The 15,155-nt window shown below is 48.5% G+C and overlaps 1 protein-coding gene and 1 long non-coding RNA gene across 6 annotated transcripts in view, besides 2 other annotated features; one reads left to right on the top strand and one right to left on the bottom strand.

Moving 5' to 3' along the window:
• The window catches only part of LYRM4 (LYR motif containing 4), a 229,198-nt gene extending 219,775 nt beyond the window's left edge, over window positions 1-9,423 (top strand). Inside the window, exon 4 of the mRNA XM_017011084.3 lies at window positions 6,494-9,423. Coding sequence (XP_016866573.1) covers window positions 6,494-6,595 — 102 coding nt within the window. The 3' untranslated portion in view covers window positions 6,596-9,423. The remainder of the gene's footprint in view (window positions 1-6,493) is intronic.
• LYRM4-AS1 (LYRM4 antisense RNA 1) overlaps window positions 1-15,155 on the bottom strand; it is a 236,681-nt gene that overhangs the window by 199,321 nt on the left and 22,205 nt on the right. For 2 of the 5 annotated variants that reach the window (NR_126019.1, NR_126018.1), the window contains exon 1: window positions 10,981-11,204. The exons of the other annotated variants lie outside the window; for them this stretch is intronic. This is a non-coding gene — a long non-coding RNA (LYRM4 antisense RNA 1). Of the gene's footprint in view, window positions 1-10,980; window positions 11,205-15,155 lie in introns of those variants that run through there. 5 annotated transcript variants of the gene reach the window in all.
• Window positions 10,218-10,378: a silencer, noted in NCBI's record as "fragment chr6:5031032-5031192 (GRCh37/hg19 assembly coordinates)". NCBI's record gives its function as "represses an EF-1alpha promoter that drives an FKBP-Casp9 reporter gene in an ReSE screen in HepG2 liver carcinoma cells {active_cell/tissue: HepG2}" and the evidence as "EXISTENCE:reporter gene assay evidence [ECO:0000049][PMID:32094911]".
• Window positions 12,940-13,439: an enhancer, noted in NCBI's record as "H3K4me1 hESC enhancer chr6:5027971-5028470 (GRCh37/hg19 assembly coordinates)". NCBI's record gives its function as "activates a minimal SCP1, AML or CMV promoter by ChIP-STARR-seq in primed H9 embryonic stem cells {active_cell/tissue: H9 hESC(primed)}" and the evidence as "EXISTENCE:reporter gene assay evidence [ECO:0000049][PMID:30033119]".

The raw sequence follows: 15,155 nt of genomic DNA, 5'->3' as shown, positions 1-15,155 counted from the left end.
TTTTTTTTTTTTGAGACGAGTCTCACTCTGTCACCCAGGCTGGAGTGCAGTGGAGTGATCTCCACTCACTGCAACCTCCACCTCCTGGGTTCAAGTGAATCCCTGCCTCAGCCTCTCAATTAGCTGGGACTACAGGCACGGGCCACCACCATGCCCAGCTAACTGTAACTTCTTAAGAAGCTATTCAAAGAACATGGTCAAGTCTGAATTTTGGTCTCGCATATGGGGCTCTTTATGCATGGAACCACAGATTAGAGTTGCGGTAATCCACCATCAGGCACCATTTTTTTTTTCTGTTTCCCCAAATTTTGACAAAATTGGATTGTCAAATGGAGAAGCAGTAAAGATAATCCTTCTATTAATTAGGTTTTATATAGTCAGGTTTTTACTGATACGTAGTAGGTGTACATATTTTGGGGGTAATGTGATACTTTGGTACATTCATATAATGTATAATAATCAAATCAGGGTAATTGGGATATCCTCACCTTAAACATTTATCTTTTCTTTATGCTGAAAACATTCAAATTATTCTCGAAGTTGAAGCTGTTTTGAAATATACAATAGATTATTGTTTTCTATAGTCACTCAACTCATTTATGGAACACTAAATCTTATTTCTTCTTTTTTTTTTCTTTTAGAGATGAGGTCTCCCTATGTTGCCCAGGCTGGTCTTGAACTCCTGAGCTCAAGCAATCTTCCCACTTGGGCCTCCCAAAATGCTGAGATTACAGGCATGAGCCACCATGCCCAGCCTTCTTTCTTTAAAAGAAATTTCTTTATGTATGTATGTATGTATGTATGTATGTATGTATGTATGTATCTATCTATCTATCTATCTATCTATCTATCTATCTATTGTTAGAGATAGGGCCTCACTCTGTTACCCAGGCTGGGGTGCACTGGCATGATCATAGCTCGCCTCAACCTCTCGAGCTCAAGCAATCCTCCCACCCAGCCTCCGAAGTAGCTGGGACTACAGGCGTGCGCCACCATGCTCAGCTAATTTTTTAATATTTTTTGTAGAGATGGGGTCTCGCTATGTTGCCCAGGCTGTTTAAAGCTACATTCCTTCTGAAATTGATTTTTGTGGATAGTTTAGGATATGTTTTAAGATTTTCTTTTTGCATATGGCTATCTAATTGATCTATCAGGATTAATTTCTTAAATATATTTTTAATCACTAATCTATAGTATTTCCTTTGTCACAGATATGTGTCCACACGTGTGTGGGTCTGTTTTTAGGCTCTGTTCTTTTCTATTGGTCTATTTTCTATTCTTGTTTCAACATTACTCCTTTAATTCTTGTAGCTTTATATTAAGTCTTTACATCTGTAAGTGAATTTCTTTTATTTAGTTCTTTCTTCTTAAGAATGTCTTGGCTTTTCTTGGTCCTTTTCACCTCATTTAAATTTTAGATCAGATTTTCAATTTTCATATCTAAAACTCTGTGGGGAGTTTGACTTATTTAGTGTTAATTTTTAATTGGATGTCAGAATGCTCCCTTTCTCTGTTTCCGATTTTTATTATTATAATTATGATGTTTCACAGATGATAGCAGGATTACAAAATATCAGAAAGCAGGGACTCACAGCTTGCTTAGTTAGGTAATTGCCGTTTTCAATGTTCAAATTGCGAATTTGGTGGCATAAGGTTGTTACTTTAGATTGTAATTGGAAAACTTTGGGGCAGGACTCTAGGACTTACTTTTGACCCTCATTCCACCCCTTCCCTGCTCTTCATTGTTCTAAAAAATGGGGAAACAGGTTGATTGAACACATACTATTTAACTTTCATGAAAGCAGGAATATGTTTGTCTTGGTCACTATTGTATTCCCAGCACTTAAAACAGTGCCTGGAATATAGTTGGTTCTCAATAAATATTAATTGAGTAAATGCCATGTTACATATTACCTTGCTTTGAAATTCTAAGACAAAACAATACTAATAGCTTTTAAGTAATGGTGGCTTCCGGTAAGCTTCATACCAGTTTCTCTTATAGTGTTACATATTTATTTTTAAAGCAACAACTCATTTATTTAGATTAATGAAAAAAAAATGAAAATAAATACTGTATTGTGGGCCCACATTTCAGTGTTCCAGTGATATCAGGCAACCTTAAATTTTAGCCATAAATAATTTTGATAAAAGAAACATGTGTAAACTACCCATAAACCAGGTGTGGCCGTTCATCCAGACTTTGCAGGATTAACCCAAACATTTTAAAAATACAAGCTAAAGCTCTCCCTCTCCCTCTCCCTCTCCCTCTCCCTCTCCCTCTCCCTCTCTCTCCCTCCACGGTCTCCTTCCGCGGTCTCCCTCTGATGCCGAGCCAAGGCTGGACGGTGCTGCTGCCATCTCGGCTCGCTGCAGCCTCCCTGCCTGATTCTCCTGCCTCAGCCTGCCGGGTGCCTGCGCACACCGCCACGCCTGACTGGTTTTCGGTTTTTTTTTGGTGGAGACGGGGTTTTGCTGTGTTGGCCGGGCTGGTCTCCAGCTCCTAACTGCCAGTGATCCGCCAGCCTCGGCCTCCCGAGGTGCCGGGATTGCGGACGGAGTCTCGTTCACTCGGTGCTCAATGGTGCCCAGGCTGGAGTGCAGTGGCGTGATCTCGGCTCGCTACAACCTCCACCTCCCAGCCGCCTGCCTTGGCCTCCCAAAGTGCCGAGATTGCAGCCTCTGCCCAGCCGCCACCCCGTCTGGGAAGTGGGGAGCGTCTCTGCCTGGCCCCCCATCGTCTGGGATACGGGGAGCCTCTCTGCCTGGCTGCCCAGTCTGGAAGGTGAGGAGCGTCTCTGCCCGGCCGCCATCCCATCTAGGAAGCGAGGAGCGCCTCTTCCCCGCCGCCATCCCATCTAGGAAGTGAGGAGCATCTCTGCCCGGCCGCCATCCCATCTAGGAAGTGAGGAGCGCCTCTTCCCAGCCGCCATCCCATCTAGGAAGTGAGGAGCGTCTCTGCCCGGCCGCCCATCGTCTGAGATGTGGGGAGCACCTCTGCCCCGCCTCCCTGTCTGGGATGTGAGGAGCGCCTCTGCTGGGCCGCAACCCTGTCTGGGAGGTGAGGAGCGTCTCTGCCCGGCCGCCCCGTCTGAGAAGTGAGGAAACCCTCTGCCTGGCAACCGCCCCGTCTGAGAAGTGAGGAGCCCCTCCGTCCGGCAGCCACCCCGTCTGGGAAGTGAGGAGCGTCTCCGCCCGGCAGCCACCCCGTCCGGGAGGGAGGTGGGGGGCGGTCAGCCCCCCGCCCGGCCAGCGGCCCCGTCCGGGAGGTGAGGGGCGCCTTTGCCCGGCCGCCCCTACTGGGAAGTGAGGAGCCCCTCTGCCCGGCCAGCCGCCCCGTCCGGGAGGGGGGAGGGGGGGTCAGCCCCCTGCCCGGCCAGCCGCCCCGTCCGGGAGGTGAGGGGCGCCTCTGCCCGGCCGCCCCTACTGGGAAGTGAGGAGCCCCTCTGCCCGGCCAGCCGCCCCGTCCGGGAGGGAGGTGGGGGGGTCAGCCCCCTGCCCGGCCGGCCGCCCCGTCCGGGAGGGAGGTGGGGGGATCAGCCCCCCGCCCGGCCAGCCGCCCCGTCCGGGAGGTGAGGGGCGCCTCTGCCCGGCCGCCCCTACTGGGAAGTGAGGAGCCCCTCTGCCCGGCCAGGACCCCGTCTGGGAGGTGTGCCCAGCGGCTCATTGGGGATGGGCCATGATGACAATGGCGGTTTTGTGGAATAGAAAGGCGGGAAGGGTGGGGAAAAAATTGAGAAATCGGATGGTTGCCGGGTCTGTGTGGATAGAAGTAGACATGGGAGACTTTTCATTTTGTTCTGTACTAAGAAAAATTCTTCTGCCTTGGGATCCTGTTGATCTGTGACCTTATCCCCAACCCTGTGCTCTCTGAAACATGTGCTGTGTCCACTCAGGGTTAAATGGATTAAGGGCGGTGCAAGATGTGCTTTGTTAAACAGATGCTTGAAGGCAGCATGCTCGTTAAGAGTCATCGCCACTCCCTAATCTCAAGTACCCAGGGACACAAACACTGCGGAAGGCCGCAGGGTCCTCTGCCTAGGAAAACCAGAGACCTTTGTTCACTTGTTTATCTGCTGACCTTCCCTCCACTATTGTCCTATGACCCTGCCAAATCCCCCTCTGCGAGAAACACCCAAGAATGATCAATAAAAAAAAAAAAAAAAAAATACAAGCTAAAGAGACAAGACTTCTCAATACTGGGGCAGTGATGTGCTTCAGAGACCTAGATAACAGGGGACTTTGAAGGGCACCCTCCTAGGAAGGACCTCCTAACTTCTCAGGCATCAGTTTCTGCTTCTGTTGACTCAGAAAGGAGCTCCCAGTGGTATAACTTGAGCGTATCCCGTGCCCGCAGGTCTCCTGAGAAAGTGGACTGTGTCTTCTCACTGTCCGGGCCCAAGGAGAAGATGTTGGGCTGAAGGGAAGCTCATTTAGAGGGAGGCCTTTATCTCAGGAGAGAAATTGATGCAAGATCTCAGTCCAGCAGGAAGGAGAGTGACTATCTGAAGCAATCGGATGCTTTCTTTGCAGAGGGATTTGAATTTGAAACTGTAGAGACCATCAGCACTCGCTAGTCTGGACAGAAGGAGACGGCAGGCAGAGAAAGCAGTGGTAGAAGTAACGAGTCAGGACAAACCATGGCCAAGCAGGGGCTGAGGTGGCCAGGGCTCTATGACAGCAGCCCCAGCTCCTGGAGCAGCACATGCCAGCTCAGCGGAGGCAGCTGGTGTTGCATCTCAGAGCTGCTGTTGAAACCACGCCCAGGTTGCCTGTGAATAACCTTCCTTTCAGGCCTCAGCAGCCTGCTGAGGCGCTCTCTGTTTTTTCCCTCCTATCTCCTAGGCTAACCTGGAAGAGCCTAATTAACACACGTGTAAATTAAGATCTCCTCTGGCTCAATATTCTGGAATTACACTGAGAAAACTCATTAATTCAGACCACTTCTTCCACATTTTTAATTATTCAATTTGGATTAAGCTGGAGTTTATTTTGCTCAACAAAATTTTATTATAGATATAGCTCAAATTAAAAAGAGAGGGGGCAGAGGAATTACTTAAAATATTTAAGGGAACATGCTCTTAACATGTTAATTTTAAACTATTTATTAAAAATTCATGACACAAGGAACTTCAGTTAGGTAAAATGAATAGAATTGTTAAGCTTTTTGCTTTTTATCAGCAAATATTTATTGTCCTTTCTTTGGGCCAGGCTCTGTGCTAAATTCCAGAACACAACATCAAATCAATTAAATAGGCATGATACTGTAGGTTAATTTAGAAATAAAAGTGCAACATAAGAAATATCTTGAAGTATTGTTTTTCACCACCTCCCCAAATATGTCTATATGCATACACATATACTAATATACATACATACATATGTGGGGGGGGGAAGGAAGGAAGGAAGGGAAGGGGGGGAGGGGAGGGAGGGAGGGAAAGAGGGGAGGGGAGGGGAGGGAGGGAGGGAAAGAGGGGAGGGGAGGGGAGGGAGGGAGGGAGGGGAGGAGGGGAAGGGAGGGGAGGGAGGGAGGGAAGGAAGGAAGGAGGGGAGGGGAGGGGAGGGAGGGAGGGGAGGAGGGGAAGGGAGGGGAGGGAGGGAAAGGAGGGGAGGGGAGGGGAAGGAGGGAGGGAAGGAAGGAAGGAAGGAGAAAGAGCCTTGCCTTGAAGCAGCTGGTGGGGGAGGTGGAGGAGAGTGTGACGGATCCCGCTGCTGCGATGCACGCTGAGCCAGAGGTGTGTGCAGGGCATGTCACCTGGCACTGAAGAAAAGATTTTCAGCTGCCCTAGGGGAGGGTCCAGAGAGACTTCCTGGGCATCACTGGGGCTGAGGCTTAAAGGATGGATCTGGGTGACTAGATGGAGAGGAGAGGGCACCTCAGGAAAAGCATCTTCAGGCAACTACAGAGAGTTCAATGGGACTGGACCCCCCAGGGTAAGGGTAGTGGGAAGCACAGCCAATTCTTGTGATTCGAGGTAGTTATGTTCTACGAACATTCTTCAAACCCTGAACTAGCAAATACTGAGCTATTTCTCCTGGAGAAAGCATGGGTTGGGTTCTGTGAGCGTCTGGTCACAACGTTTTCATCAGCTGAAACACCATTTGTGTTACAGAGGTTTGTTTATCAACATCCTAGTAGAACACGCAGGTCTCATCAGCATTGAGAACCTGCCCTTCCACATAACTCTTTTCTTGTATAGCACTCAGCGGGTATTTTTACAATTCTCCCACAGCCTCCTGATCTGCAAAACTCGCCTCGCCTGCCCTGCAGGTTTAACCTTTTTCACATTGTATCACCTTCTGGAACATGAGAGCCAGTCAGCACTAGCTGAGAAGGGCTTGACATGTTCCTGACTGTAAACTTCTTTGGCTTTCAGACTCACAACAATGTTGCTACCACGCTTTTTGAAAAAAAAAAAAAAAAAGCATTGCTGTAAAGGAACACCTAGGCTGGGTAATTTATAAAGAAACGTTTATTTGGCTCTTGGTTCTGCAGGCTGTACAGGAAGCATGGTGCCAGCATCTGCTTCTGCTAAGGGGTTCAGGCTGCTTCCGCTCATGGCAGAAGGCGCAGGGGAGCCGGCGAGTCACATGGTGAGAGAGGAAGCAAGAGAGAGAGGAGGAGATGCCAGGCTCTTTTTAACAATCAGTTCTCATGGGAACTCAGAAGAGCAAGAACTCATTCATTACTGCAAGGATGACTCCAAGCCATTCATGAGGGACCAGATTCCATAACCCAAACACCGCCCACCAGGCCCCATCTCCCACACTGGGGATCACATTTCAACATGAGACTTGGATGGGACAAACATCCAAACTGTATCAGACATCATCTCACGAATCCACAAATTTAGCTGCTTTCCCTTCTTTTCTGTAGTTTCACAACCTACTATAGAAGCACTTTCTAGAGGGGCCTGCAGAAGTGAATTTCCTCTTCCATGGCCTCGATGTATTTGGCTGTTGATTCAGTATCACTGAACTTACTGCCAACAGCACTACAACTCACGCTGAAGGCACCTCATCCAGCACAGGTATTGTCTCCACAGGCACATCGCAGCCTCCTGCACTCAGAGACAGTAGACAGCACTTCAGCACCGTGCCTGGGGACATTTTAAACAGCAAAATCACCAACAAAAGTACAAAAATGCAAAAGCATGGCTCTGGATAGACAGCAGGAAGGACCACTTGTTTCTAGTGTGAGAGCTGGGACAAGAAAGCAGAGGGGTCACCTTGCTTCACCTCAGCCGGGAACAGATGCCTTGGACTACTCAGATTTTTTCCCTGCTCTGTACAAGTCTGTGAATCACTGTGAAGCCACAAGTATTGATTTGGTTTACAAACACATTTTAGTGAAGAGGTGAATTTGCAGGTATGGAATCTAGAAATAATGAGATCGGACTGTAAGGCTGGAGACGAAGATGGAGAGGCTGCTGCCAAGTGACAGGCTGGCTCTTGTCCCAGAAGCTGTGGACTGCCACTGGAGTGTTTCAAGCAAGGGAGTGGCTTGATCTGTGTTGTAGGAACAGCACCTTTTCTCAACTTAAAAGTGTGGCTTGAAGAGAGGAAGACGGGAGACTGGTTAGGAGATGGATGTATCCAGGTGAGGATGAGGGTGGGTGAACGGAGCCAGGGATAGAGGTCCTCAGGGGAGCTGACCTGAGACCCCTGTGAGTCTCGGGTCCTGGCAATGGGGCGGCGGTGAGTGGTGAGGGGGAGGCATTGAGGACAGCGCCCGGGGTCCCCGGCTGGGGCACATGCTGGGGTGTAGGGCAGTGGTCAAGGGCCCTAGCCTTGCAGTCAGACACCCCTGGCGGGCTGTGTGGCTTAGACATGCTCCTCCACTTCCCTAAGCCTAGTTGTTTCATGTCTAGCATAAAGATTCCGTGTGGCAGGAAGAACACACCCCCGGGAGTGATTCTGAGATTGAAATGAGTGCTGGTGCTTTTCACCTAAACAAGGAAAACGGGGAGAGAAGCAGTATGTGGGGTGGGAGGGAGAAGAGTCTGTCTGGGCGTGGGGATTTGGACGTGCCTCTGGACACCCATGGACAAATATCCTGAGGCCATCTGATGTTTTCCGGGGGCCACGGGAGTGGGGGAGGGGAAGGTGGGGCGGAGACACAGACTTGGGCATTACCAGCAGGCAGGGGGCTGCTACCGCCATGAAGAGTGGGCAGTGCCAGGATCAGAGGGCCGGGGTAAAGCCTGCGGAATTCCCACATTTCAGAAGAGGCTGGGAAGGAGGTCAAGGAAGAGCAGCAGGAGGAGGAGAAAGCAGGAGGGTGTGGAGGGACGGGAGGCGGGGAGGAGGAATTCCAGGAGGGAGTGGCCGGGGTGACTGTTCTGAAAGCATGGACTGGAAGCCACAGCACATTTGGGCTGCAAGGAACCCGAGAGATCTTCTAGTCTAATCCTCTTTCAGTCTCCATCCCCGTCCGGATGAAGACAGCGAGATCCAAAAGTAAAGTCAGTTGTACTGTGACTTCCTAGCAGGATACCCTAACTCCTAATTCATAATAAAACTACAGACATTCTCAATTCAAAATTCTTCCTATTCAGTCACACTGGACTTTCTCCCAATGTGACAAAATTATTGAGATTTTATTGACTTACTGAACAACTGTGGTCTTTGCCATGTACTAAGATACTGTGTAGTCAAACTGCGCCTCTGAAATCTATTTTTATTGTACATTTAACAAATTTTGCTGTAAACAATAAGTTTAAAAACAATAGTCATAACTCATTAAACTGTATCTTTTAATTTTAATATGTTATTATACCTCAATGAAACTCAGTTTTAAAAAACAGTGAATAAAAAGTTGAGCTATTAAAACTAAAAAGTAATTATTTGCTAGTTTGTATACACAGACCCAAGAAATAGAAATATAGGAATATTTGGAACTTGCTCCTTCTTACAGCCTTGAGGGAACCGCTTATCCCTTATTACGCCTTGGTTTCCCTCAATGAAACTAGAAAATATTACCTTGCAAGACGCTCATAGTTAATTAATACGTATGAAGCTCTTGAATCTAAATATTAAATACTTGATGATATTGTCTGGTAAATATTATCTAACTGCATTTATAAATACTAGCATTTTTACAGCCTAGTGGTAATTACAAAGTATAGCCCATTTAAAATGAATACAAATATGTGCATATATATTTTTCCTGTGAAAGTAGGAAAAGAAAGTTGAAATTATGCAAGAACAAAGTAGAAAAATATGCCTCTCATATAAGATTGAGTGTTTCCATTGATCAATATAATTTTTAAAATGTTGTGATGATTCTTTTTTTCACTTAATTGGCTATGTCATTTGCACTCTACCTAAGTGAGATATTAATAAATTGTATATGATGTAAATAACAGGAAACAAGAAGAACTGCTGGCCTTATTCATAGTTAATAAAGAGAACCAGATGATGAAATTGTCTGAAAATAAGCCATTTTGTTTATTAAAAAGTTACTTCTGCTCCAGGGATCCAAGTAATAGAGCTTTGTGTTTTCAGAGGGAATGTTGCCATAAATCAGGGTATCACAACCTCAGCACTACCGAGGTTTGGGGCAGCTGGGTAATTCCGTTGTGGGGGCTGTCCTGTGGGCTGTGGGAGGTTGAGCAGCACCCCTGGCCTCCACCCACTAGATGCCACTAGCACCCCCTCCCTCATTTGTGACAACCAAATGTCCCCAGGGGGCAAAATTGCCCTCAGTTGAGAAACACTCCTATAAATATCATGTCCATGCTGGGGTGGGTGTACTTTTACATGTACGGGGGACTGGCCCGTAGGTTTGGCGGTAAGTCCTGGGCTTCCAAATTGGCATTTCCCAGTAGCTGGGCTGATGTGACAGCCTTCGGTTGCTCGGGCCTCCAGGCAGAAAGTGGAGGTGCAACAGGGGCTGTTTGCACGCTGCCTTGGCAGAGTTGGGGTGACAGGCACATCTCATGTGTTCACAGACACTGCCAGGCCTTCTCAGAGCTCATGACTTGCCTCCCCTTTCCCTGCAGTTAGGGAGCCTTTTGTCTTGCCCTCAATTCTCCAAAATAACCCAAAAGGTTTCCTTTATCTTTAACTCTGTTATAAACATGTTGACACTTTGCCAAACAAAAACCTGATGAAACATATTCTGAATTTTCTACTTTCCTACATAAAAACTTACAAACAACAGGCTGAAGGAAAGAATGTGTAGAGAAGATACAGGAAGTGACATCATAAAGCTGGAGGAGACTTTAGAGCTGAGCTGCTCTTGGTCACGCGGCACACAGTCCCAGTGCTCAGTCACCATGTGTCCTGCATGGCTCCCATGTTGGACGGCACAGACGGAACATCTCGATCGTTACAGGAAGTTCCACCAGATGGCGCTGTCTCCAGGGACATCTAGGGCACAGGCCTTACTTTATAACGAAGTCCTAGAGAGATTTATGTTCACCCGGCTGAAGAGAAGCAACGAGCTCAGGGCAGAACCAAGACTGGGAAGCAGCCCAGTTAACCCCACGCTGCGATCTCTCCCGCACACAACTGCCTTGTGGCAGGTCCACACCTGGAATGCCACATGGGGTTTTGGCCATCATAGCCTAAGAATGAGGGTCAGATAGGTAATTAAGAGAATGGACCAACTCTAAATAAAATGTTAGTCCAGTTCAGTAACCATGTCTCGTATACCTGCCATGTACCAGAACTTGGTCTGGTTATGAAGTTGAAAACAAACAAACAAACAAAAACCAAATAGATCCCTGTCCTAGCAGGGCACACAGACTGGGAGGCACTCCTTTCAATCCCACGTAGCCATCCCAAAGATAAAGATGAGCCCAGGGCCCAGCCTGGGGTGGGGAAGGTGGGGAAGGCGTGCTTGCTAGAGGAGATAGCATCCCTGTAAAGAAGGCAAGAAACGAGCTGGGATGGAGGGAGTTGCAGAGCCCAGCACTCAGGGGAGCAGACGGGAGGGCGGCCTGAGGATTCCCCTGACTGTGGCTTCGTTCCACTCACCTGGCTGTGCCCGGCCACCCCATGTAGAGGTCCCTCCTCAAGGCAGCATGTTTAGGGCACCGCCTCCACACAGATTCCCTTCCCATCCTGTGGCCCGCTTCTCATCCTCCACACCTGTCTTGCTCAGTGACGCTATGCTCCATGCAGGCTTATGCTTCTGGAGCCTGAGAACCAGCCTCCACTCTTCTCTCTCACACTCTATATCTAAGCTGTTGGCACACTCTATTCCTTTTTTTTTCGGTAAGTTCTAGAACCTGCTTCATCCATCCCCATGACTATCTTTGTCTCGGCTTCCATCATCTTTTTCTCTCTTTCCCTCTCTTCTTTTTACTTTTTATGTTTTTTAAGAGATAGGATCTTGCTGTGTTGCCCAGGCTGGAGTGCAGTGGTGCGATCATAGCTCACTGCAGCCTTGCACTCCTGGGCTCAAGAAGTCCTCCCGCTTCGGCCTCCTGACTAGCTGGGACTACAGGCATGCTCCACCATGCCCAGCTATTTTTTAAATTTGTTGTAGAGGTGGGGTCTGTGTTGGTCTGACTGATTTTTGAACTCCTGGCCTCAAATAATCCTACTGCCTTGGCCTCCCAAAGCACAGACTACAGATGAGCTGTGATGCTTGGTCTTCTTTATACATTAAAAAAAATTGAGATATAATTCACTGCCATAATATTCATCCTTTTAAAGCATACAATTCAGTAGTTTTTAGTGTATTCACAAAGTTGTGCAACCATCACTGCTATCTTATTCCAGAACATGCCATCACCCCAAAAGAAGCCCCATATCCATGAGCAGCCACTCCTCATCTCCCCTTCCCCTCTCCCTGGCAACCACAAATCTCCTTTTTGTCTCTATAGGTGTCTCTGTTCTGGACATTTCATGTAAATGGAATCCAACAATATGTGGTCTTTTGTCACTGGCTTCTTTCAATCAGCATGTTTTCAAGTTTGTTGAAAGGTTTCCATGTTGTAGCACACATCAGTATCATCACTTTATTCCTTCTTATGGCCGGACAATATCCTCTTGTATGGATATAGTGCTTTTGTTTATCCATTCACGGGTACATAACAGTATGCTTTTGTCTGCCCGTGGACATCAGGGTTGTGTCCACTTCGGGGGGATTATGAGTAGTGTGACTATGCGCATTCCTGTGTTAATCCATTTGGGCTGCTATAGGAAAATACCACAGCTGGGTGGCTCACAAACAACAGAAATTCATTTCTCACCATTCTGGAGGCTGCAGGTTCAAGAAAAGGTACCAGCAGATTTGGTGTGTGCTGAGGACTTGTTTCCTGGCCCATAATGGCACCTTCTCACTATGTCCTCATATGGCAGAAGGGGCCAATGAATGCTCTGGGTCCTCTTTTATATGGCAGTAATCCCATTCATGAGGGCTCCATTCTTATGACCCAGTCACCTCACGAAGGCCCCGCCTCCAAATACCATCACCTTGGGGGTGAGGATTTCAACATAGGAATTTGGGGGAGACACACACCTTCAACCTATAGCAACTCTTGCTCAAGTGTTTGTGTGGACATATGGTTTCACTTCTCTTGGGTACGCCTTCATCTCTTCATAAGATTGGTGAATACATTCCTCAGTTTTTCCTGCCTCCAGACTTATCCTCTCAACCCACTCTCCAACCTTTTAGTCAAATTTATTTATTTATTCATTCATTCATTCATTCATTCATTTATTGAGACAGAGTCTCACTCTGTCTCCCAGGCTATTCATTCATTCATTCATTCATTCATTTATTGAGACAAAGAGTCTCACTCTGTCTCCCAGGCTAGAGTGCAGTGGTGTGATCTCGGCTCACTGCAACCTCTGCCTCCCGGGTCAAGCAATTCTCCCGTCTCAGCCTCCCGACTAGCTGGGACTATAGGCGCGCAGCACCACACCCGGCTAATTTTTGTATTATTAGTAGAGATGAGGTTTCCCCATGTTGGGCAGGCTGGTCTCGAACTCCTGAACCCAAGTGATCCGCCTGCCTCGGCCTCCCAAAGTGCTGGGATTATAGGCGTGAGCCACTGCACCCAGCCTAGTCTAGTTTTTTTAAACATGTAAATCTTTTAAATGTGTAAGTTGTATCATGCTGAACCCTGTATGTAAAATCTTTCCATAACTTTCCATTGCACTGAGAAAAAAATGGCCAAAGCTTCATCTGGCCTTCCTCTTCAACCCCGTCTCTGGGGGATGGGGGAGGGGAGTTGGAGATGGGGCTGGGAACACCCGTCTGTTTCCCCCAGCTCGCTTTAGGGTACAGTGGGGCTACAGTCCTCCGTAGCATAAACGCTGTTGCCACTTGCCTCTCTCCTGTGCCCAGCCCTCCACCAGCCCGGGGCACTTAAGCACCCTGAAAGGGAAAGGCTGCGGTGCCACCGGTCCTGTTGTCTCCAGGGCCCCTCCTGAAAACTCCATGGCACAAGACCCCTGAAGGTGAGAGCTGAGAGGGCCTTGGGGAGCACCCAGCCTGGCTGGCTTTCCAGCTGTGCCCTGGGCAGCTTTGTGCTGCTGGGGACCTGTCAGAGCTGGGAACCAAGGAGTGGCGCTGAGTTCCAGGGCTCTGTGGGTGTGTTTCCTGGCAGTTTTGTTTGAACAGAATTTTTATCAGCAGAAAGAAAAAGGGATCTGAGCTGATGTGGTGGCTCACACCTGTAATCTCAGCACTTTGGGAGGCCGAGTCAGTGGATCACCTGAGGTCAGGAGTTCAAGACCAGCCTGGCCAACATGGGGAAACTCCGTCTCTACTAAAAATACAAAAATTAGGCCAGGTGCGTTGGCTCACGTCTGTAATCTCAGCACTCTGGGAGGCCAAGGTGGACAGATCACTTGAGGTCAGGAGTTCAAGACCAGCCTGGCCAACATGGGGAAACACTGACTCTATCAAAAATTATAAAAAATTAGGCAGGCGTGGTGGCAAGCACCTGTAATCCCAGCTACTCAGGAGGCTGAGGCAAGAGAATCGCTTGAACCCAGGAGGCAGAGGTTGCAGTGAGCCAGGATTGTGCCACTGCACTCCAGCCTGGGCAACAGAGTGAGACTCCATCTCAAAATAATAATAATAGTAAAATAAATAAATAAAAATACAAATACAAAAATTAGCCAGGCATGGTGGCAGGCGCCTGTAATCCCAGCTACTCGGAGGCTGAGGCAGGAGAATCACTTGAACCCAGGAGGTGGAGGTTGCAGTGAGCTGAGATAGCGCCACTGCACTCCAGCCTGGGTGACAGAGTGAGACTCCATCTCAGAAAGTAAAACAAAACAAAACAAAACAAAACAAAATAAAAATAAATATATAAAAAGAAAAGGGGATCTGAGAACAGATTAATTTAATACAGCCCCCTTCATTTATAGAGGAGGAAACCCAGGCTAAGCCAAACGCAGCTCCTTCTTCTCCAGGCCAGAAGCCAGGAGTTGCTGTCCACTGCCTCTCCCGGGGACCCATGGACACATGGCAGTGGCTCTGCCTTCCCCAGGAAGCCTATGGAGTCACCAGGGCAGGCTCAGCGCTCCGGGACACCAGGGCACAGAATGAATGCTGGAGAGAAAACAAGACATGGGCTAACAAAGGCAGAAACAGCAGAGTCACCTGCTCCGGCGGGGCAGAGACCAGGAAAGTGACTCTCTAGCGACTCGGGAAGTGCTGCCTCCAGAAACTCCGTCCAGACCCGCAGAGAGCAAAACCTCAGAGGAGACCTCACGTGACCAGGCTTTAAAGAAAGTTTGTGGGGAGGGGTCCCAGAAATAAACGAAGGGAGGAAGGAAAGAAAGGCGCTGGGTGGGAGCCTCAGGAGAGGCTCTGGGAGGCGGGAGGCTAAGCTGTCCCCCTCCCTCCTCGCTCCCTCCCTCCGCACCCACCCCGGGAGCAGCGGCTGTCGGGATCCAGCTGCAATTTTTCAAACCAATTAAGGAGAAGTGCCTCGGTCGCAGGAGGGAGCGCTGTCGGCCTCTCCTGACTCAGCAGGCACAGACCAGGACCTTTGGGGACGCGATCGGAGGGCTCTAATTGATCCTCTTTAAGGAAGAAATCAAAAGTAGCAGCAGCTACTCTTTAGACTTTAAACTACTGAAGGGGCTTTCAACAGAGGTTTTCCACGGAGCGCGCGGCTTCCTGGCTGCCTTAACTGTCTGTACGCCGGCAGGTTTCCCTCTTCACTCCCATTGTCTCCTGCACA

The sequence above is a fragment of the Homo sapiens genome, chromosome 6 (genome assembly GCF_000001405.40).
Source record: "Homo sapiens chromosome 6, GRCh38.p14 Primary Assembly".
Classification (NCBI taxonomy): Eukaryota; Metazoa; Chordata; class Mammalia; order Primates; family Hominidae; genus Homo; species Homo sapiens.
This window is presented reverse-complemented; position numbering and strand designations above follow the sequence as displayed.